Below are 23,257 nucleotides of genomic sequence, written 5' to 3'. Positions count from 1 at the left end.
TATTAATTCAACCCTCACAACTCTTTAAATTATCCTTAGTTGACAGATAAGATGAAAGGCAGAATAGTTGGAACAGATAGTAAGTTTGCCTCACTAATAACTTGTACACAGTCCATACTCTTAACCACGATGCAACACAATTATCACCAACACACACACACACACACACACACACACACACACACACACGAAAAAGGCCACCAGGTACTCACCCAGTTTCCTTATCAGGAACCGCCCCACAGCAGATTGGCCACAGCTGTGCCTCTGCCCACGGCCAGCCCTGTGGGATGCAGGTGGATCTCGTGAGGTCAGGGCCCCTTTTATAGCCCCATCACCACAGCTGGCTCTGTCTCCCGCCACCCACACCAGCTGTCCCACTCACCATGGAGAAGATCCTGATCCTCCTGCTTGTCGCCCTCTCTGTGGCCTATGCAGCTCCTGGCCCCCGGGGGATCATTATCAACCTGGTAAGAGGGTCTTCAGGGGAGGCGCCTCCTGAGTCCCCAGATGAAGACTTCCTAAGCTTGGACCTTGACCTCTGATGTCTCCACCTGGACTGGCAGGGGCTGGGAGGAGTGGCATCTTGCATCCCTCTGTTTACTTCCATGTCCTGTCCTATGCCTCTTCCCAGAGGCCACAGGAAAGGCTGATCAGCCCCTCTCCAGCTCCAACTGGAGCATGCTCAGAGCAGCAGCTCAACCTGGCTATGAGGGACCTTTTTTTTCTTTTTTTTCTTTTTGAAACGGAGTCTTGCTCTGTCACCAGGCTGGAGTGTAGTGGCACAATCTCGGCTCACTGCAATCTCTGCTTCCCGGGTTCAAATGATTCTCCTGCCTCAGCCTCCCAAGAAGCTGGGATTACAGGTGCCTGCCATAACGCTCAGCTATTTTTTGTATTTTTAGTAGAAATAGGGTTTCACCATGTTGCCCAGGCTAGTCTCAAACTCCTGACCTCGTGATCCGCCCACCTCGGCCTCCCAAAGTGCTGGGATTACAGGCATGAGCCACCTCACCTGGCCCTACGAGGGAGCTTTGTAAAAATCCAGAGCCCTGGGCTTCCATCCTGAGAAAATGCTTTGCGCCAATCATTCCAGCTTCTGACTTATGGAGATGCCTCGGAGATGTTTACTCATTCTGTTCTCATAATAACCACTGAGGGAGGTGTTTTCAGAGTCAGCCCTGTCTTCAGACAGAGAGAGGGTGAGCAACCTGCCTGAGGTCACATAGCTGGAAAGTGGTTCAGCTGGGGCCCCACCACTGCCCCACACCACCTCTCCACCATGGGTCTTGGCTGGGAAAGCCCTTCCAGAACGTCCATGCGGTTGAAAGGTTCTGAACTCTCTTAACTTGGGGCCATGGCTGGACTTGGAGGTCCAGGACCCTTGGAGATTATAGATCAGATCTGTTGGGGGAGGAAGGAGTCTTGCAGGGAGATGCAATCTTCACCGCCTCCTTAAAGAGGTGTGGGACCCAGAGTGGTTTGGAGAACTTGTCTAGGGGCCTTGTGTGCACATTCCAAATGGGAACACTGAGGCTTGGGAGGCAGTGACTTGCCCAGAGTCACACAGGAGGTTGGTAGCACAGCCGGTACTAGAACCCAGGGGTCCTGACCCTCTGTGCAAGTCTGCTTCTCTGTCACCGCATGCCCACTTCTCACGTGGGTGGGGGGCACAGAGGCCACCAGACCCAGGGGATGGACTCCTTCACACACATCCCTACCAGGGGAGACACTGTTAGTGGTAGTGTGTGGTGGGTACAGGTCTGAATGGAGAAGGGACCTGAGGGAGTGGGGCCTGGGCTGACTGGCTGCTCCTGGCAGGAGAACGGTGAGCTCTGCATGAATAGTGCCCAGTGTAAGAGCAATTGCTGCCAGCATTCAAGTGCGCTGGGCCTGGCCCGCTGCACATCCATGGCCAGCGAGAACAGCGAGTGCTCTGTCAAGGTGGGTGCCTGAGGACTTGGCGTGGGTGGGGGAGAATGGGGAGTAGGGCCCTGAACACTTGTGAGTGGGATCAGGGAGGGGGGTCAGCCTGGACACTGAATGTTGAGGAGACGAGAGGGAGGTCGACAGGTGTCAAAGCACTTTCCCATCCCATCATCTCTCTTGACCCTCCCGAGTGACCAGTGAGATGGGTGGGGGTGGGGATTTGTTATCCCCATTTCATGGCTGGGTAAATAGAGGCTCCCCAGAGAGATCAAGCTAGTAAGAGCAAATGAGCCAGAGCAGAGGTCAGAGCTGGGGTCTCCAGGGCCCACGGCACCCCTGGGGAGGCAGGTGGGAGAGGCACTCCCCGAAAACACAGGCTGGCCTACTGGTTCTCTAGGTCAGGCAGGGGACAAGTGATGTCCAAAGTATCTCCCCATAGCCTTGACTCCATTGGCTGTGTCTCTGCAGACGCTCTATGGGATTTACTACAAGTGTCCCTGTGAGCGTGGCCTGACCTGTGAGGGAGACAAGACCATCGTGGGCTCCATCACCAACACCAACTTTGGCATCTGCCATGACGCTGGACGCTCCAAGCAGTGAGACTGCCCACCCACTCCCACACCTAGCCCAGAATGCTGTAGGCCACTAGGCGCAGGGGCATCTCTCCCCTGCTCCAGCGCATCTCCCGGGCTGGCCACCTCCTTGACCAGCATATCTGTTTTCTGATTGCGCTCTTCACAATTAAAGGCCTCCTGCAAACCTTTCCCAGTCTCCTGCATATTCTTTCTGACTCAGCATCTTCTCTGAAGTTGCATCAGGCCTTTGGTCCACCAGGGCAGGCTTCAGGCAGGTCAGAAGAACAAGGGATGGGTCTGGGGCTGAAGAAGTTGTGGCCAAACAGATTGGAGACTGAAGACAAAGCTGTGAAGGAGACCCAGCCAGCCTAGGAAACCCTCCATTTCTGGGGAGAAGTCACACCTACCTGGGATGCCCTCCTTGTCCCTCCGGTTCTCAAAGAGACAAGCGGGCACATGTGCATGCGCGCGCACATACACACACACACACACACACACACACACACACACTTGTGGGTAAGGAGTTTTAATGGCCCATGTTCGTCACCCTGCATCAGAGGCATCAGAATCCTGGGCTCTCACCTCTTTTCTGGACACAATTCTCAAATATGACAGCTAGCTGACACAACTCATGTGTTAAGGGGTCAGACCACTCTCAATTGCTATGAGCTTACTCTCTGCCAGCAAATGCTCACAAGGATCCCAGGAGGGAGAATTTCTCATCTCCACTTTATAGATAGAGACCAAGTTTCAGAGAGGAGCTTGCCCAATGTCACATAATCAGAAAATGTTGGCACTCTACCATCTAACTCCACTGCCCTGCTTCTATGATTCCTTTTTTTTTTTTTTTCTGAAACAGAGTCTCTCTCTGTTGCCCAGACTGGAGTGCAGCGGAGTGATCTCTTGGCTCACTGCAACCTCCACCTCCCAGGTTCAAGCGATTCTCCTGCCCCAGCCTCCCCTAGTAGCTGGGATTACAGGCGCCTACCACCACGCCCGGCTAATTTTTGTGTTTTTAGTAGAGACGGGGTTTCATCGTGTTGGCCAGGCTGGTCTCAAACTCCTGACCCCAGGTGATCCACCACCTCAGCCTCCCAAAGTGCTGGGATTACAGGTATGAGCCACCGTGCCCGGCCTTATGATTCCTTTTTCTTTCCCAATTATTCGCATTAAGAAAAATGGGTGGAAACTGCAAGGAATTTAATTTTGCCTTAATATAAAAATTGTATATCCCCTGGAGCCATCAAACATGAGTTACCTTAGGCAGTACTGAGGTGCCCATCATCCAGGTACGCAGGTGGAAGCTCACTGACCCCTCGGTGGAGATGCTAGAGAGGAGATTCCCACAGAGAGTGAGGGACAGTGAACTGAATGAAACTTCGATGTCGTCCCAGCCCCAGGATCTTGCAGTTCTGTGATCAATGAATCCTCCTGTAACCACAGGCTTATGAGTTAGGATTGCATTCAACTGTGAGTAGCAGAAAAACCCAAGTAATTATGGCTGAAGCAAATAGGAACGTATATTTCTCATGAATCCAAAGCAAAGACACAGGAAGTGCTGGCATTCTTTTGGTGGCTGGTAGCTCTTGACCTTCTCTTCAAGGTTGCCACATGCCTTAGCAGCAGCTCATGACTTCACGTTCTCACCGTATTCGAAGGCAGGAAGCATGGAGTAGCTGGCAGCTGGGAAGGCGGGAGAAGGAGCAGAGAGTTTCTTCTTGCATACCCTTTTTTTTTTTTTTTTTGAGACAGAGTTTTGCTCTTGTTGCCCAAGCCAGAGTGCAGTGGCACGATCTCGGCTCCCTGCAACTTCTGCCTCCTGGGTTCATGCGATTCTCCTGCTTCAGCCTCCCAAGTAGCTGGGACTACAGGCGCCTGCCACCACGCCTGGCTGATTTTTTGCATTTTTAGTAGAGACAGGGTTTCACCATGTTGGCCAGGCTGATCTTGAATTCCTTACCTCAGGTGATCCACCTGCCTCGGCCTCCCAAAGTGCTGGGATTACAGGCATGAACCATGGCACCTGGACCATACCCTCTTCTTATCTTTCCTCAAATCCTCAAGGCCGACTTCTCTTCATATCTCAGTGGCTAGAACTAGGTTATCTGACTACTTCTAGCTGCAAGGGACGCTGGGAAAGCAAAGGGAATAAGATCCTTCTCCTGGGGCCAGGTTCATTGATGCCCAAACAATATTGGGTTTCAGTTGGCAGGGAAGGGGGCAATGGCTATTAGGAAACCAGGTAATGGTGTCTGCCACATATGAATTATGTGCTCAACAAGAGGAGCTTTCAATACCTTAACCCAGGAGGGGTCTCAGGCCCTGAGCAGGGCTGAGTCACGCTTCTTGGTGCCACATTCGGTCCTGGAGATCTGCATTCATGTCCCCTTCATGTGTTCACTGAATGACCACAGTGTGCCTGGCACCGTGTTTTGGACTGTGGGGGGCATAAGGAAAATGTCCCTGGTCTTCAAAAGTGAGTAGGGAGTTGGGCTTTGGGCTCTGCAGAAGCAAGTGACCAAGACCCCAACCATTATGTAGCTTCCATTTTATTTCCAACGGCCAGTGCTCCTGTAGACTCTCAATTTCTGCTGCTTTTCAGCATCACACGCCTACACAGCAGAGGCACAGTCTAACCACAGCTCAAGGAACCAGATGGTCCCCACTTACAATGGTTTGACTGACAATTTTTCAACTTTATGATGGTGCAAAAGCAATATGCATTCAGTAGAACATCAATAAATTACATGAGATATATTCGACACTTTATTCTAAAATAGGCTTTGTGTTATTTTTCCCAGCTAATGTAAGCATTCTGATTGAGCACATTTAAGGTAGGCTAAGCTAAGCTATGATATTCAGTAGGTTAGGTGTATTAAATACTTTTTTTTTTTTTTGAGACAGGGTCTCACTCTGTGACCCAGGCTGGAATGCAGTGGCATGATCATGGCTCACTACAGCCTTGACATCCTGGGCTCAAGTGATCCTCCCACCTCAGTTCCCCAAGTGCTAGAACTATAGGCGTGTGCCACCATGCCTGGCTAATTTATTTATTTATTTATTTATTTATTTTTGTGGCGGGGGGAAGATGGAGTCTGTCTCTGTTGCCCAGAGTGGAGTGCAATAGTGCGATCTCGGCTCACTGCAGCCTCTGCCTCCCAGGTTCAAGCAATTCTCCTGAATCAGCCTCCCGAGTAGCTGGGACTACAGGCACATGCCACCACGTCCAGCTAATTTATTTATTTATTTATTTATTTGTATTTTTAGTAGAGATGGGGTTTCACCATGTTGCCCAGGCTGGTTGCGAACTCCTGAGCTCAGGCAATCTGCCCACCTAGGCCTCCGAAAGTGCTAGGATTATAGGTGTGAGCCTCCATGCCCGGAGTTAATTTTTATATTTTTAGTGGAGATGGGGTTTCACCATGATGCCCACACTGGTCTTAAACTCCTAGGCTCAAGCAATCCGCCCACCTCAACCTCCTAAAGTGCTGGGATTACAGGCACAAGCCACCACACCTGCCCATTAAATGTATTTTCTTTTTCTTTTTCTTTTTTTTTTTTTGGAGACAGAGTCTAACTCTGTCACCCAGGCCGGAATGCAATGGCACGATCTCGGCTCGCTGCAACCTCCGCCTCCCGGGTTCAAGTGATTCTCCTGCCTCAGCCTCCCGAGTAGCTGGGATTACAGGCGTGCCCTCCACGCCCAGCTAATTTTTGTATTTTTAGTAGAGACGGGGTTTCACCATGTTGGTCAGGCTGGTCTCGAACTCCTGACCTTGTGATCCGCCTGCCTCAGCCTCCCAAAGTGCTAGGATTACAGGCGTGAGCCCCCGTGCCCGGCCTATTAAACGTATTTTCAACTTACGATATTTTCAACTTAAACAATGTGTTTATCAGGATGTAGCCCCATCGTAAGTCAAGGAGCATCTGTACTTTATTCCCTACAAATCTCTCTGGATTCTGACAACGGCAGCCTCTACCAATGACCACTTTTCCCATAGGGCAGCGGAATCCCCATGGCTTGTGAAGGGGTCTAGAGAATGCCACTGAAGCATAAAAATTATTCTGAGCAGAAGGCATTTGAAAATGGGCCTTTTTCTTTTCTTTCTTTCTTTTTTTTTTTTTTGAGACAGAGTCTTGCTCTGTCACCCAGGCTGGAATGCAGTGGTGCGACCATGGCTCACTGCAGCCTCAACCTCCTGGTGCTCAAGTGATCCTCCTGCCTCAGCCTCCTAAGTAGCTAGGACTACACGTGCGTGCCACCACCGGCTATGTTGCTGTTGTTGTTTGTTTTCAGACACAGGGTTTCGCAATGCTGCCCAGGCTGGATGAGAATAGGCTCTTTTCTGAACTCCTTTGTCTGCCTAAATGCAGAGCCCTGCAAAAGAGCTCCATTGTCATAAATCCCCCTCCCAGGAGTTTCTCAAAACCAGGGAAAATTGACTTATTGCTGGAGGGGAGAATAGTTGGCACCACACCTAAACAGTCAGGTCACGAAACTATAATAGCTCCCATCTTTTCTCCTAAGGGCCCATTCATCTTTCCTAAAAATTACTTTTCTATAAGTGTCCTTTCTCCTCCTCCCCTTCTTCTATTGAGATGGTACATAACCCGCAAATTCTAACTTCCTTCTAGAGTCACACTCTTCCATGAACTTCCCTACATTCTGAATAAAAATCGGTCATTTCTCTTTTATCGGTTTAATTCTCAGGCCTTCAAGTACTGAACCTAAGAGGATAGAGGAAAAGTTTTCCTCCCCCAACACTTGGAACCAGTTTAGTCATGTCAGCAACGTATCTTCCCCAACTCCCTTTCTTTTTTGTTTCTTTTTTTTCCTTATTAGGCTAAAAACGTTTATTAAAAAAATTAACAACTTTGTTTTAAAGCATTTTATATTCCTGGATGAAAATATCCAATATTGGAAAAAAGTGAAATTTCAGCCGGGCACAGTGGCTCATGCCTGTAATCCCAGCATTTTGAGAGGCTGAGGCAGGATTGCTTGAGGCCAGGAGTTTGAGACCAGCCTGGGCAACATGGTGAGATCTCCCCCTCCCCATCTCTACAAAAATCTTAAAAATTAGTTAGGTGTGGTAGCGCACACCTGTGGTCCCAGTTACTCAGGAGGCTGAGATGGGAAAATCACTTGAGCCCAGAAGGATGAGGCTGCAGTGAGCTGAGATGGAGCCACTGCACTCTAGCCTGGGTGACAGAGTGAGACCCTGTCTCCAACAAAACAAAACCAAACCATAAAATTTCCTCAAATTAATTTTTTTTTTTGAGACAGGGTCTTGCTCTCTTGCCCAGGCTGGAGTGCAGTGGTATGATCTCGGCTCACTGCAACCTCCACCTCCCAGGTTCAAGTGATTCTCCCACCTCAGCCCCCTGAGTAGCTGGGACTGCAGGCATGCACCACCACACCCAGCTAATTTTTGTATTTTTAGTACAGATGGGGTTTCACCATGATGGCCAGGCTGGTCTCGAACTCCTGACCTCAGATGATCCACCCAACTCGGCCTCCCACAGTGCTGGGATTACAGGCATGAGCCACCGTGCTCGGTCCAGAGCTTTTCAGCATGTAGTCCCATTTGTTTATTTTTGCTATTGTTGCCTGTGCTGTTGGTGTCTTATCCAAAAAATCATTGTCAAGACCAATGTCGTGTAATAGTTCCCCTATATTTTCTTCTAGGAGTTTTACAGTTTTGGGTCTTATATTTAGGTCTTTAATCCATTTTGAGTTTATTTTTGTGTGTGCTATAAGGGTCCAATTCCATTCTTTGGCATGTGAATATTCAGTTTTCCCAACACCATTTATTGAAAAGACTATCCTTTCCCCAAGGTGTCTTCTTGGTGCCCTTGTTGAAACTTAATTGGCTGTACAGGCTTGGGTTTATTTCTGGGCTCTGTATTCTCCCCTTCCCCTTCTAACTTCTTGACATTGGGTATCCTTGGGAACTTCTTAGACATTGGGTATCATTGGGTTTCCAGCCTGCCACCTCTCCTTCCACGGTCATTTCATAGGTTTTCTCTGAATGGGGAGAGCTCACATAACACAATGGAAGTCTGGTTATCTGTCTGATACATTTAGTACAGGACAGCATATTCTACCAAGGTATGGTTCACATCGTTTTGCTATGACTTACAAGGGGGCGTTCTAAGTACAACCATAGTTTACCTCCAAACTCCCCAGCCCTTGCATCCTAAGCCCAACATCCTGGAGGGCATGTTTGGCTCAGTTCTGGTGGCTGAATGTGGAAATTTAGGTCCAAAATCTGAAATAATTAACTCCAAAATGTAACCTGAATATAACAGGCACTACTCACAGACAAGCGAGCTAGCATCTAACTCCAAAAGCCTCACCACACACTGAGACTTCCTAAAACTCCACTTGACTCATTCTCTCTCCAACCCCACACCACAGTCGCTGCTCCAGTCTTTCTTTCTCACTCTTTCCTAGGCTCTCCTTCCTTCCTTCCTTCCTTCTTTTCTTGTCCCTCTTTTCTCTTGCCTCCCAGAAGATTCAGATTCAGCACTTTCCAACTGTGTGACCTTGAACAAGTTGCTCAACCCGTTTCCCTACCTGTAAAACAGAGGTGATAACAGGAGAGACCCCACAGGTTTGTTGCAGGATTAAATGAGATCATGTGCATAAGGCAGCTAGAGCGGCCCCTAACATCTAGTAAGTGCTCAATAAACATCCTCAATTCTTTATACACATGGATATTTTGTGTACCTTCTTTCACATTTCTGAAATTTAAGGTCGTGGAACTGGAATATCAGGTGTAAACTGGGCTTCCGGGGGGTAGATTACAGAGTGGGCTGAAGGCAGAAAGGGGTTGGGGTGGGAAGGGAGCTTTGGTCTCTTCTGGGGGACTTTCATTCATGCCCCAACTGGGGAAAGACCCCAAGTCCAACAGTGTCCCTTCCTGCTTCCTCCCTCATATCACCTCCCCACCCCCCAGAAACCTGTACCATGCCCACCCCAGCCCAGCCCACCCAGGCCCCAACTCTGTGGGCAGCAAACATTGAAAAAGCTCTTTATTTCAATCACTCCCCACTTCCCTCCACTCATGGTGGAGGCTCTGGGGAACAGGGTGAACACAGAGCTCTGGGTAGGGAGGAGAGCAGGTGGAGGAGGAGGAGGCAGCAAGAAGGAGGGAGCACTAGAAGAACATTTTCTTAGCCAACTTCTGCCTTCCAATTTTCTGACAACGGCCATAGGCGATGCTAAGCCATTTCTCATTCTTTGAATATATACAAGTCAGGTTCCGCAGGCAGGGACACGCTCTATATTGGCCAAAGAACACCTGGGAAAGACAGGACTTTGACCTCGACCTTGGCGGCAGCTCTTCCCTGAGCCCCTAAGCCCAGCCCAGCCCAGCTCCAGGGCCCATGTGCTTGCCCACAGCCAGGATCCAGGGATAAATGATAGCTTGCCAGCTGCTCAGAGTGGCACCTCTGGCTGCCTTCTCCAGGCTGGCTCCTGGATTGTTCAGTGTCCTCCCAGCTCCAGACCTTGTAACCCTGCCTGTCACTGACCCATCTGCCTGTCCTAAGTCCATGGACACACCATCGCAGGACCTCTATGTCTTGTCTTTAAATCCTTCCATGGGCAAATCAACTCCCTCCCCTACACACCCAGCTCAGAGGCTGCCTCTGCCCATCCTCCACCAGGAACACCCGGGGCCACAGCAGAACTCCTGAGCTGGATGAAGACGGGGCTCTGGGGCAGAGGCTGGACCTAGCTGTGCCCATTTACTGTACTACTTTCGGAATTTGCTGAGAAGACTCCTGGAGAATGTGAACCCACATTAGAAAGTGAAACATCGCCTTCCCGCCCCAATCCAGGATTCCAAAACCCTAGGGTGGGCTACCATATTGGTTCCGTCCACAGGCTCCCCCAGAAGGCTTGGAGGTGCAGTCCCACGGGGGAATTCCAGGCTCCAGGGCATTTCCGCCCACCTACCCTTCTTTCCTCCCCAGGAATCTGGGCCCGCCCTGGCTCCCACTTCCCCTGGATCCCCTCTGGCTCCCCCCGGGCGGCGATACCCACCTGCGTTTGACACAGACTGCCCTCGGACCCCTTCTCCGCGCAGTGCGACTCGCAATTGTCTGGAGCACGTTGGCAGCAGCCAGTCTCGCAGTCCTGGTTCCGGATGCAAGACTCCTTGAGCTCCTGCAGGGAGGGACACGGCACCGCCAGGCTCCACCGCCCGCCTTCCGCCCTCGCCGCCCCGCCTGGGGCTTTCTCCCTACGGGGCTCCTCCCCAGACTCTGCTCCCACCATCACCTCTGGCTCCTGCCAGGCAGGGTGGTCTCTACGTGGGGGCCGGGGTAAGTCTGTGCAGACGGTGGATGCCTGGAGGGGACTGAACAGTTTTTAAAAGGTTTACTCTTGGTGTCCTCAACATAGGCTGCTTCTCATACACACCAGAGTGGTCTAGACTTTCCTGTCTCTCTCTTGCACTTCATTCTGCTGCAGAGCCTTCTCGCCCCAAAACTCATACTCACCCTTTCACCTGTGCCTGATGGTCACCTACATGCATTCCCACCGCCCCTCCCCCTACACACATCAATGACCTCCACCCAGCACTGGGGCTTAGGACAGTAATTAACATTATTGATCACAGCCACCCATCATCTCTGACAATTTCAATAGTCATTCAACAGGCAAATACTGAGCACCTACTGTGTGCCAGGCACTGTTCCAGGCACTGGGAATACAGCTGGGAACAACAAAAACAGAAATCCCTGTCCACCTGCAGCTGACATTCCAGAGCAGCACTGTCCAACAGAGCTTCTGCAGTGACGAAAATGTGCTTTTTCTGCCCAGTCCAATAGCCACTAGCCACTACTGAGCACTTGAAATGTGGTAGTGCAACTGAGGAGCTGAATTTAAATTTTCTTTTCTTCTTTTTTTTGAGATGGAGTCTTGCTTCCATCGCGCAGGCTGGTATGCAGTGGCGTGATTTCGGCTCACTGCAACATCCACCTCCTGGGTTCAAGCAATTCTCCCGAGTAGCTGCGATTACAGCCGTGCGCCACCATGCCTGGCTAATTTTTGTATTTTTAGTAGAGACGGGGTTTCGCCATGCTGGCCAGGCTGGTCTCGAACTTCTGACCTCAGGTGATCCACCCGCCTCGGCCTCCCAAAGTGCTAGGATTACAGGCATGAGCCACCGCGCCCAACCCTCTTTCTTTCCTTTCCTTTTTTTTTTTTTTTTTTTGACAAAGTCTCACTCTGTCACCCAGGCTGGAGTGCAGTGGTGCAATTATAGCTCACTGTAGCCTCAACCTCTAGGTTCAAGCAATCCTCCTGGCTCAGCCTCCCGTGTAGCTGGGACCACAGGCACACACCACCATGCCCAGCTAATTTTTTTATTTTTTGTAGAGATGTTACAGGTAGTTAGACAGGCATGAGTGGGGTAGGAGAGGGCTCTCCCCCACCCACCAGGAATGTCAGGTGATGGTTCAACAGTTATCACATTGCCTCTCTAAAAATGATAATTTGGCAGTTAGGCTCCAGGGAGAGACAGGCTTCTAATGGTCCACAGCTGTTAACATTAAAGTGTCCATTGAAAGCAGGGGCCAGAGAGAAGCAAAAAGGGCTTCCAATAAAATCTCAGGTGTTGGGTGAGTGAGCCCGGGGAATGCACATTAAGAGAAAAAATGGAGGAGTATGAATTTCCGGGGACAGGGCCAGGCATGGTGGCTCACGCCTGTAATCCCAGCACTTTGGGAGGCCGAGGCGGGCAGATCACGAGGTCAGGAGATCGAGACCATCCTGGCTAACACGGTGAAACCCCGTCTCTACTAAAAATACAAAAAATTAGCTGGGCGTGGTGGCGGGTGCCTGTAGTCCCAGCTACTTGGGAGGCTGAGGCAGGAGAATGGCGTGAACCCGGGAGGTGGAGCTTGCAGTTAGCTGAGATTGCACCACTGCACTCCAGCCTGGGTGACAAAGCGAGACTCTGTCTCAAAAAAAAAAAAAAAAAAAAATTTCCAGGGGCACACTCCACAGGAAAAGGGAACAAAGCCTCAGATGGGCATGCGTACAACTTCCTAAACACCCTGCATGTGCTCACTTCCCAAGGGTAAGGAGGACACTGCGCATGTGGTCAGCTCACCCTAAGGGAAGAATCAGGGGAGAGAGGCACACGACACTGGAGGTAGGCAAGACTGTTAAGGGGTAGGACCAAGGTTAAACACTGCACTTGCCCTTCAAGTTGCCCACTTGGGACTCTTCCAAGTGTACTTTCCATTCTTTCCTGCTCTAAAGCTTTTTAATAAACTTCCACTCCTGCTCTGAAACCTGCCTCAGTCTCTTTTTCTGCTTTATGCCCCTCAGTTGAATTCTTTCTTCTGAGGAGGCAAGAATTGAGGTTGCTGTAAATGCATACAGATTCATTGCCAATAACTCAGATACCTTCCACCAGTAAGAGACAGGAGTCTTGCTTTGTTGCCCAGGTTGGTCTCGAACCTCTGGGCTCAGACAATCCTCCCACCTTGGCCTCCCAAAATGTTGGGATTACAGCCATGAACCACCACACCTGGCTTGAATTTTAAATTTTGTTGAATTTTAATCAATGTAAATCTAAGTAACTATATGTGGCTAGTGTAAACCAAAAATAAAATTTGAAGCCTCCCACCACCACCAATCCACAGCCATCTCAGTCGACTCCTTCCTTGGCCAGGGCACTCTAAAATTTAACCTGAAAGACTGGTTCAGGCCATGACGGGAAGTGGGGGTTGGACATGCCTCATTAATACCCCTCCAGCATTAACATTAACAAAGACCTTAAGTCTGATCAGAAACATGTACAATCTATTTTCTATGAAGCCTATTACTGGAGGCTTCATCTGCATGATAAAACCTTGCTCTCCTCAACCCCTTATCTTAACCCAGACATTCCCTTCTGCTGATAATAGCTGTTCAACCAACTGCCAATCAGAATTTGTTTAAATCTACCTATGACCTGGAATGGAAGTCATGCCCCCCACTTCAAGTTGTCCCACCCTTCCAGATCAAACGAATGTAAATCTTACAGGTACTGACTGACATATTATGTCTCCCCAATGTGTATAAAAGCAAGCTATACCCCAAAAAACAAAAAACAAAAAAAAAGCAAGGTGCACCCCAGCCACCTGAGGCTGTATCACAGGTGTGTCCCTAACCTTGGCAAAATAAACTTTCTAAATTGACTGAGACCTGTCTCAGATATTTTGGGTTCACACTAGTAACTGCACTATTGGACACACACAGCTCTAGAGAGGGAAGACAGGGAAGAGATACATAAGTGAAATGATACGGTATCACAGAAAAAACGTTGAGCAAAATAAGTCAGATTTTTTTTTTTTTTTTTTTTTGGAGATAGAGTCTCGCCGTCGCCCAGGCTGGAATGCAGTGGTGCGATCTCGGCTCACTGCAAGCTGTGCCTCCCAGGTTCACGCCATTCTCCTGCCTCAGCCTCCTGAGTAGCTGGGATTACAGGCACCCGCCACCACGCACAGCTAATTTTTTTTGTATTTTTAGTAGAGACAGGGTTTCACTGTGTTAGCCAGGATGGTCTTGATCTCCTGACCTCGTGATCTGCCTGCCTCGGCCTCCCAAAATGCTGGGATTACAGGCATGAGCCACCGCGCCCAGCCCCCCTTTTTTTTTTTGAGACAAAGTCTCACTCTACTGCCCAGGCTGGAGTGCAATGGCACTTTCTTGGCTTAGTTCAACCTCTGCCTCCCGGGTTCAAGCAATTCTCCTGCCTCAGCCTCCCAAGTAGCTGGGATTATAGGCATGTGCCACCACACCCAGCTAATTTTGTATTTTTAGTAGAGATGGGCTTTCACCATGTTGGTCAGGCTGTTCTCGAACTCTTGACGTCAGGTGATCCACTTGCCTCGGCCTTCCAAAGTGTTAGGATTACAGGCGTGAGCCACTGCGCCTGGCCCAAATTTTTTTTTAAAAGTACATACTGTGTGATTTCATCATACAAAGTTCAAAACTAATCTATAATAATGGAAGTCAGGAGACAGTTGCCTTTGGTGCTATTGACTAGGAGAGTAAGAGTGAGGCTTTTGGGGTAATGAAAATGTCCTATATCTTGTTCTGACGGTAGTGATGAGGGGGTCTGCATAGGTTCGAATCCATTGATTTCCATGTAAACTCAAGATCTGAGCACCTAGTAAGGTGTGATTTTTACCACATATGTTATATACATAACAATAAGTAATATTTATATTATATATGTATAATCCTATTATGTACGATTATGTGCTATAAAGAAAATAAGGCAGGAAAGGAGGATTGGCTATAGCCGCCTCCCGGCCTCCCTGCTTCCATCCTTGCCAGTGACCTCCCCCAGGTACCCCCTCACCATCCCCACTCTCACTTCCACCTCCCCAACCTCCTCAAGTCAGTTCTTCCCAGAATAGCTAGAGGAGTCTTTTTTAAAAGATAATTCCCACAATGCCATTCTCTGGATTCAAAGCCATCACTGGGGCTCTGAATCCACACCTGGCCTGGCCCCAGGGCATTTGCGCTTGCTGGCCCTCTGCCCAGAGCACCCTGTCCTGCACTCTTTGCCCGGCTGCCTCCCCCTCCTGCCTCAGGCTGAAGACTTCCTGGACACCAGCAGAGCAGTCCCCATCACCTGGTTGTACTTTGTTCACAACACTTATGACTCTCTGAAATCATCTTATTTATATGTTTAAAAATAATTTATTTCCCCCGCTAGCAACCTCAGCTCTGGGACATGGATCTTCTGCTCTCACGTTCACTGCTATATTTCTTAGCCCCCTTGGACTAAAGTCCTTACACATTGCAGGTGCTGAATGCATAACTGTTGAATAAATGAGAATATTGTAACTGTGTTCCATTTATCTCTCTGAGCTCATCTCCCATGATTTCCACTCTCTCTTACTCCTCTTTGCTATTCCTTGAATATGCCAGCACATTTCCGCCCCCAGACCTTTGCCCTGGCTGTTCCCTCCACCTTGAATGCTCTTCTCCCAGAGACCCCCCTGCTTTGCCGGTTAGGAAGGACTTCCCTCCCTTTAGGTCTTTGCTAAAATTTCACATTCTTAGTAAACTCTTCCCTGAGCACCCCATTTAAAACTGCAAACCCTGGCCAGGTGCGGTGGCTTACGCCTGTAATCCTAGCACTTTGGGAGGCCAAGGCGGGTGGATTGCTTGAGGTCAGGAGTTCAAGACCAGCCTGACCAATACGGTGAAACCCTGTCTCTACTAAAAATACAGAAAAAAAAATTAGCTGGGCGTGGCAGTGGGTGCCTGTAATCTCAGCTACTCGGGAGGCTGAGGCAGGGGAATCGCTTGAACTCAGGAGGCTAAGTTTGCAGTGAGCCGAGATTGCCCCACTGCACTCCAGCCTGGGTGACAAAGCAAGACTCTGTCCCAAAAAAAAGAAAAAGAAAAAGAAAAAAAAAAAAAACACCTGCAAACCCTTCTCACACCACCACTCCCACAGCTCGATTCTTATTTTCCCTTTCCTTGCTTATCACCTGAGATAGATGCTATTATTAATAGCATCTATTGTAATGTTTTACTTCTTTGCCTCACACACTAGAGTGACAGCTCTACAAGGGCAAGGATTTTTATCTTTCTTGCTCACAGCCCTATCACTAAATGTAGAAAAATAATTTACATATAGTAGGTGCTCAATAAAAATGTGTTGCATGAGTGAATATCTGTCTCCCTTACCACATGTGCGCATGGGCAGGGGGGCTCTCTCACATTCACCTCTGTGGCAGCAGCACCTGGCACTGCCCTGGCACAGCTTCCAGGACCAGGTTGTTCTCTCTTTCCTCCGAGACATCTTCCACCCAACACTCCCTGCTGCCCCCACTTCTGGCCTTCTCCCACACTAGCCCCCATGCCCGCTCACCTCCCCAAATAGTACAGGCCTTAGGACAGTGGAGGGGGAGGTGACTGCACTCTCCAGCTTTCTTACCAAAAGGTTGTATTTTGTTGGAGAAAGTGAGCCCCTGGTGAGGAGGAAGAGAAAGAAGAAGAGAAGGAACAGCAGCAGCAGCCATTGGGGTAGCATCATGGCCCACAGGTCGTGGTGGCTTTTCTAGGGTCCAGCGAAATATCCTGCACGCCGACCATGTGGGTGTCCTCCCAGCTGTGGGAACACCATGTAAAACCAGCACCCAACCCCGTCAGAATTTTCCCATCCTGCACAATACTCAGGCTAGGCCAATCAGCAAATTCCACCACAATAATTAGTTCAGGCAGACTAAGCCAATCCAATCAGAACCGATCTTAGGATGTTTGCTGAAAATTGTGGAACAGAGATGTTTTCTTTCTCTGAAAGGCACAGTATTGATGTACATGGTGGATTTGTGGTTAAGAGCCTGGCCTCTGGGGCAGGATTGTCTGGGTTCAAGTCTCAGTTCCAACCCTTACTTTAGGAGCCTCGATACCCTGTTTGTAAAATAGGGATAATTATAACACCTACTATAGCCCTGTTGTGACAAAAAGATGAGTCAATACAGTTAAGAAAGCACTTTGGGCCAGGCGCAGTGGCTCATGCTTGTAATCCCAGCACTTTGGGAGGCTGAGGCAGGAGGATCACTTGAGCCCAGGAGTTTGAGACCAGCCAGGGCAATACAGTGAGGCCCTGTCTCTATTAAAAAAAAAAAAAGAAAAAGAAAAAGAAAAAAAATTGGCCGGGCATGGTGTCACACACCTGTAGTCCCAGTTACTTGGGAGGCTGACGTGGGAGGATCTTTTGAGCCCAGGGGGTTGAGGCTGCAGTACGCTGCGATCGAGCCACTGCACTCCAGCCTGGGTGCTGTCTTAAATTTTTTAATTAAATGAAAAAGAAAGCACTTTGCACAGTGTCTGGCACATAGGAAGTGCTCAATAAATCCTACCTGTTATTAGGTGACACCTGGAATGTTTGTGACTACTGGGAAGGAATTCAGCCTGAGAGCTGCTGGCTCTGGCCCTACCTAAGGGTTGCCTGACCTCTGGACTTTCATTTCCCATCACCAGTAAATCCCCTCCTCACCTAGACCAATTTGAGTTGGTTTTTAAGATACTTGCAGCAGAAAGAGGCCTCACTGCTACCCCAATGATATGACCTAGGGCAAGTCATGTCGCTTCTCTGGGCCTCAGTTTCTTTGTCCATGCAGTGAACCGACAATACCTGAGAGAGCGGAGGCATCCATGCACCAGGTCCCTTTCCCACCACAGGCATTTCTGCATTTATACTTTGCACATTCTCACCAACTCTCTAATGATCTCTACCCTTTTGTGCCCCACAACCCGCCCCGCAAAACATTCAGATACCTCCACCTAGTCTCTCCCTACCACACACCCCTCCATAGGCACCCCAACATACACTCTCCAGGTACATTCCTCAATCCCGTCTCTCCCACACAGCCCTCCAACCAGAGAATCAGCCCTTTCCCAGACCCAGCCCCTGCTCCACCACACCCTCCCTGTGCCATTCCCTTCCTGCAGTTCTACCCTGACCTCCGGACAGGGCCAAATCCCATTAGAAGCTCATTCATGCCTCCAGTCTCCCCTTTTGCCTGCCCCCTGGACTGGTACAATCTCCACCAGGTCCCCTCGCCCAGAAAGTACAGACAGAGGCCAAGGACAGGAAGTGACTTTAATGTCTCAGGAGCTGGATTTGGAGCAAGTTGGTGGCAACCAGGGCCTATGGCCCCAAGGGAGCAGTGACCAGCCTGCATCTTCCTCTAAATCATATGGCACCGGCGGGAACACATCAAGTCCTTGGATATGCACGTCAAGCCCATCCGGCAAGGGCAGATGATGTTGGTAGCTCCCTTGGTCTGCAGGGAGTGGGTATGAGAATCGGGAGTCACCAGGATGCAGGAAGGATGGGGACTTAAACTTCTTGGGGACCAGAACCAAGAGTACCAGGCCTGGAGTAAGACAGACCTGGGCTGTCTCTACAGCTTATAACTGCGTGACCTTCAGCAAGTCAATGAACCTCTCCAGCTCGGTTTCCTCATCTGTCAAATGGGGACAGTAATAGTAACCCCCCTCATAGGGTTGTTGTGAGGACTAAATGAGATAGAGCAGATCAAGTGGTGATAATAAAAAGACCCTTTAGGCCATGCGCGGTGGCTCACCCCTGTAATCCCAGCGCTTTGGAAGGCCGAGGCGGGTGGATCACCTGAGGTCAGGAGTTTGAGACTAGCCTGGCCAACATGGTCATGGACTAATAATATAAAAATTAGCACATGCCTGTAATCCCAGCTACTCCAGAGGCTGAGGCAGAGGAATTGCTTGAACCCAGGAGGTGGAGGTTGCAGTGGGCCAAGATCACGCCATTGCACTCCAGCCTGGGCAACAAGAGCAAAACTCTGTCTCAAAAAATAAAAAAAATAAAAACCCTCTAGCCACTTCAGCTATAGGGTCAGGCCATGGTAGGGGCCCTGCTGCTTCCTTAGGGCATTGGCAACTCCCCACACAGGGACATAGAGGCTGGGTCCATCCATCCTAGAAAGGTTTGGGCCCAGGGCCAGGTGGGCAGGAACAGGGCGTACTGAGCATTCTGCTCCCTGCATTCCTAAAAGCGAGTGACAACCATGCTGGACTGCACACTCTCCTTGCCAGGACCACATAATCTTCCCAACAGCCTGGTGGGGTAGGTACTTTAGCCTCTCCTTGTAGATGAGGAAACTAAGGCTCAGAGAGCCATGATGACCTGCTTGAAGTCACAAAGATAGGGTGTGGAAAAGTCAGGATTTAAACTCAGGTCCAACTGCAAAGCTGTGGTCCTGCCACTGCAGTGCCATGCTCCTCTCAAGAAATCATGTCACTGTGGCAGGGAGATGGGGACTAGTAAGGGGAAGGTCATTTCCTACTTACCCTGCCTCAGTGGTGTGAGAGAAGAGATATTCATTCATTCAACAAGCATTTATTGGCCGGGCACGGTGGCTCATGCCTATAATCCCAGCACCTTGGGAGGCCGAGCCAGGTGGATCACCTGAGGTCAGGAGTTCAAGACCGGCTTGGCCAACATGGCAAAACCCCATCTCTACCAAAGATACGAAAATTAGCCAGGCATAGCGGTGCACCCCTGTAATCCCAGCTACTCGGGAGGCTGAGGCCCAAGAATCGCTTGAACCCAGGAGGCAGAGGTTGCAGTGAGCCGAGATCATGCCATTGCACTCTAGCCTGGGTGACAGAGCGAGACTCCATCTCGAAACAAACAAACAAACAACAATAAGCATTTATTGAGCACCTACTATGTGCAGATACTAAGCTGGGGGTAGGTGCTTCATAGATGAATATGATGCGATCCCTGCCCTTGAAGAGTTCCAACCACTGGGAGAGGCAGAGAAAAGACATGGCCAGTTAGGGAGATACATGGTCTGCTGAGGGTCTGACCCCAGGGTACAGGAGCTCCAAGGAGGGAAGCCTTCTCAGAGGAGGTGGCTGGAGTTGTTTTGCACCATGAGTAGGAGTTTGCCAAGTGGAGAAGAAGAAGGGCACTCCAGACAGAGGTGAAAAAACAGGTGGGGCCAGGTGTTTTTTTTTTAACCTCCCTGCCCGCTTCTCTACTTGCCAGAAGTTGCCCCATACTAGGGCCTCACCTGGGGCAAGCAGATCATGGTTATTCTGGCCCTGGGGGCACAGAAGGCTCCACCGGAGTCCAAGTCCATGAGGCAGCAGCCACTGTAGCACTCAGAGTGGTGGAAGCACCTGTCTGTGATTTTCTGTGGGGACAGGCAGAATGTCTGCCAGGCTGGGAGCAATCCCTGAGTCGTGTGGGCGGGTAGGGGAGGGTTCCCACCATTGCCAAAGAGCCCAGGGATCCAGGAGAAGTCATGAGGTTGTCACCCCTTGGGGGGCTGGTTCCCCCCCCAGCCCCACCCCGGCCCCTCAGCAGGACCCAGGGCAGCAGAGAGGAGGAGAGGGGGATTAGCACTTTTCCCTCGGCCTCTCCTTTCCTGGACCCCCCTCACCTCCATGAGTCCCATGGGGTGTGTACTCTTAAGTCCCATTTTGCGGGGCAGGGTTGGGGGATGAGAATGAAGGGGCTGCGGGCTCGAAAAAGAGGGAGAGAAAGAGGAGAAAAGGGGAGAGCCCTCGTGCCTGGAAGAATCACTAGACAGTGAGAGGAGGTGGAAGAAGAGGAGGAGAAACCAGAGCATGCAGGGTGGGTTTGCCTGTGAGCAGTTTGGGGAGGGAAGCGAGCCCAGGACTGAGGCCATCGGAAGGGGCACGGGCGGGGGAGGTGGAGGGAGCGAGGGTGCTGGTCATAGGCCAATTTCTCTCCCCTCTGAGGCCACCAGGGGAAAGTGAAGCGGCTTTTGAAGTCCGTCTGAGGATGCCCCAGGCTACCCGCCTGGGTGTGGTTCCGGACCCACCTCTCCCTTTCAGGCTGCCCGGCGCCTTCGGGCTCCAGTGCCCCGGCGGCGGGGCCACCCTCTCCTGCGGTCGCGGCCGGCTGGGCGCGCTCCCCGGCTCACCTTTTTATATTGCGGAAGCGCGCTCCAGAGGGGCAGCACCGCCCCCGACAGGACCCCCGCCACGAGCGCCAGGGCTGCGGCCATGGGCCTGGGCGGCAGAGCAGCGGCGGGGTTCCGAGGGGCCGCGGGATAAAACCTCTTCCCCGGCCACGTGACCCGGCGCCCCAGGCCACCCCGGCGGAGGAGGGACGTGGAGGGCGAGGACGCCTGCGGAAGGGAAGGAGGGAGGAAAGGCGCTCAGGCTCGCACGGGCGGGATTCCAGACTGTAGGGGCCCTGGGAGCCTCCATACGTGTTACTTCCAAGTAGAAGCTTGAAACTGTAAGATAAAACTCTATTTTTATTGTAAGATAAAACTCTATTTTATTGTATTTATTTATTTTACAGACGGAGTCTCGCACTGTCGCCCAGTGCAGTGGCGTGATCTCGGCTCACTGCCATCTCCGCCTCCCAGGTTCAAGTGATCCTCCTGCCTCAGCCTCCCGAGTAGCTGGGACTACAGGTGTGCGCCACCACGCCGGGATAATTTTAAAAATTTCTGTAGAGACGGGGGTCTCCCCATGTCGCCCAGGCTGGTCTCTAACTCCTGGCCTCAAGTGATGGTCCTGCTTCAGCCTCCCAAAGTGCTGGGATTACAGGTGTGAGCCACCGCACCTGGCCTCAAAACTTTATTTTTATAAACGGCACAAAACATATATGCTGAAATAAAAAGAGCTTCCTTCCTGATGTTGATTCTCTGTCTGCCCTTGCAGCCCCAGATTCTCCCCTTACCTTCGGGATAATCCAGCCCCACCCTCTGGGCTGCTCACACCCGCTGCAGGCCCCATTCTCCTCTTCTGTAAGAACCAGGAGGTGGGACAAGATGGTCTCTAAGTCTTAAATCTCTTGCAGTCTTAATCATTCTATTAATTGTCTAAGGATTTGTCTGTGAATTGTGTGAAAGTCAAGATGTGGGGGCAAAATGGAGAAGTGGGAAGAGAAGAAAACTCAGAATAGGGAGGAGGGTTAAGGGAGAGCTAGAGCTGCACAGAGCAATCCTGGAACCGGGGGAGGCAGGCCTTCCTCAGGACTTCCCTATGGATGAAGCTTCCACCTCACCCCACCTGCCTGCTTCTGCTTTTTTTTAATTTCTATTTTTTTTTAATTTTGTATTGTTAATATTTGTTATAGAGACAGGTTGTCCTTATGTTGTCCAGGCTGGTCTTGAACTCATGGGCTCAAGAGATTCTCCTGCCTCGGCCTCCCAAAGTGGTGGGATTACAGACGTGAGCCACCACTCCCAGCCTGCTTCTGCTTTTGAAGTTTCGCTTAAGAAATGAACCGAGGAATCCTGTCTTGGTGGGGAATAACAGCCAAGAATAACAGCCCCCACCGCACTCAGAGGGCCTTGTATCCATTATTTCCGTGAGCCCTCCCTGTATTAACACTAGCTGTCACAGAGTAATTAACACTGGCTGTAACAACAGAACTCCTGGAATTTCGTGGCTTGGCACAATAATGCTTTATGTACAGTCTGATTTGGGGCAAGATACCCTTCTTCCATCCTGTAGCCATCTATAAGACTGGCCTCTGGCTGGGCATGGTGGCTCATGCATGTATTCACAGCACTTCGGGAGGCCAAGGAGAGAGGATCAGTTGTTTTGGGGGTTTTTTTGGTTTTTTTTTTTTTTTTTTTTTTTTTTTTTTTTGAGACAGAGTCTCACGCTATTGCCCAGGCTGAAGTGCAATGGCACAATCTCGGCTCACTGCAACCTCCGCAAAGTGCTGGGATTACCAGTGGGAGTCACCATGCCCGGCTGAGAGGATCTCGTGAGCTCAGGAGTTCAAGGCCAGCCCTGGGCAATATAGTGAGACCTCATTGCTACAAAAAAAATTTAAGAAATTAGCCAGACATGGTGGCACATGCATGTAGTCCTGGCTACTCGGGAGGCTGAAGCTGCAGTGAGTTATGATCGTGCCACTGCACTCCAGCATGGGCAACAGAGTGAGACCCTGTCTCAAAAAAAAAAAAAAAAACTAGCATCCAAGGTCTCCATGGAAGACCTGCCTTCTCCACTCACAAACCACCTGCTGGAACTAGTCACATGATCCCAACCCTCTAACCTTCTGCAAGGGAGGCTGGGAAATTCAAAGGAGTCTTGGAATATTTAGCATCTACTATCATTTCTGCTGCGTAACTCTTAGCCCTGTTTTACAGACTAGGAACCTGAAGGCTCAAGATAAAGTTACTTGCCCAAGGAACAGGATTAAATGGCAGAGTCAGATATAAATCCAGGGCATTCTAGCTCC

General features: G+C 50.3%; 3 protein-coding genes across 11 annotated transcripts, besides 2 other annotated features; 1 reads left to right on the top strand and 2 right to left on the bottom strand.

Moving 5' to 3' along the window:
• On the top strand, positions 349-2,690 carry CLPS (colipase). 3 transcript variants are annotated; one of them, NM_001252597.2, is made up of 4 exons: positions 349-467; positions 766-863; positions 1,819-1,941; positions 2,395-2,690. In NM_001252597.2, the coding sequence occupies exons 2-4, from the start codon at positions 822-824 to the stop codon at positions 2,524-2,526; spliced, it is 297 nt and encodes a 98-aa protein (NP_001239526.1). In that variant the 5' UTR covers positions 349-467; positions 766-821; the 3' UTR covers positions 2,527-2,690. The 3 variants fall into 3 exon arrangements, with proteins under 3 accessions (NP_001239526.1, NP_001823.1, NP_001239527.1); NM_001832.4 differs by lacking the exon at positions 766-863; NM_001252598.2 differs by lacking the exons at positions 766-863; positions 1,819-1,941.
• On the bottom strand, positions 3,633-16,653 carry CLPSL1 (colipase like 1). Of its 4 annotated transcripts, none has more exons than NM_001348773.2 (3): positions 16,463-16,653; positions 10,552-10,674; positions 3,686-4,184 (listed from the first exon to the last, which is right to left on the bottom strand). In NM_001348773.2, exons 1-3 carry the CDS (start codon positions 16,559-16,561, stop codon positions 4,137-4,139), a joined length of 270 nt encoding a protein of 89 aa, NP_001335702.1. In that variant the 5' UTR covers positions 16,562-16,653; the 3' UTR covers positions 3,686-4,136. The 4 variants fall into 4 exon arrangements, with proteins under 4 accessions (XP_016866310.1, NP_001335702.1, NP_001010886.1 ...); NM_001010886.5 differs by lacking the exon at positions 3,686-4,184 and adding an exon at positions 9,522-9,805; XM_017010821.2 differs by lacking the exon at positions 16,463-16,653 and having other exon boundaries at positions 3,633-3,829; positions 10,552-10,851.
• Positions 15,041-15,542: an enhancer, noted in NCBI's record as "H3K4me1 hESC enhancer chr6:35749907-35750408 (GRCh37/hg19 assembly coordinates)". NCBI's record gives its function as "activates a minimal SCP1, AML or CMV promoter by ChIP-STARR-seq in primed H9 embryonic stem cells {active_cell/tissue: H9 hESC(primed)}" and the evidence as "EXISTENCE:reporter gene assay evidence [ECO:0000049][PMID:30033119]".
• Positions 16,654-18,119: 1,466 nt separating the features above from the next.
• On the bottom strand, positions 18,120-21,074 carry CLPSL2 (colipase like 2). 4 transcript variants are annotated; one of them, NM_001286550.2, is made up of 4 exons: positions 20,970-21,074; positions 20,091-20,213; positions 19,743-19,821; positions 18,120-18,317 (listed from the first exon to the last, which is right to left on the bottom strand). In NM_001286550.2, the coding sequence occupies exons 1-4, from the start codon at positions 21,051-21,053 to the stop codon at positions 18,142-18,144; spliced, it is 462 nt and encodes a 153-aa protein (NP_001273479.1). In that variant the 5' UTR covers positions 21,054-21,074; the 3' UTR covers positions 18,120-18,141. The 4 variants fall into 4 exon arrangements, 2 of the variants coding, with proteins under 2 accessions (NP_001273479.1, NP_997292.2); NR_104467.2 differs by lacking the exon at positions 19,743-19,821 and having other exon boundaries at positions 20,868-21,074; NM_207409.4 differs by lacking the exon at positions 19,743-19,821.
• Positions 20,964-21,093: a silencer, noted in NCBI's record as "silent region_17100". NCBI's record gives its function as "represses an Ori minimal core promoter by ATAC-STARR-seq in GM12878 lymphoblastoid cells {active_cell/tissue: GM12878}" and the evidence as "EXISTENCE:reporter gene assay evidence [ECO:0000049][PMID:35858748]".

This window comes from Homo sapiens, chromosome 6 (assembly GCF_000001405.40).
Source record: "Homo sapiens chromosome 6, GRCh38.p14 Primary Assembly".
In the NCBI taxonomy this organism is placed as follows: Eukaryota; Metazoa; Chordata; class Mammalia; order Primates; family Hominidae; genus Homo; species Homo sapiens.
This window is presented reverse-complemented; position numbering and strand designations above follow the sequence as displayed.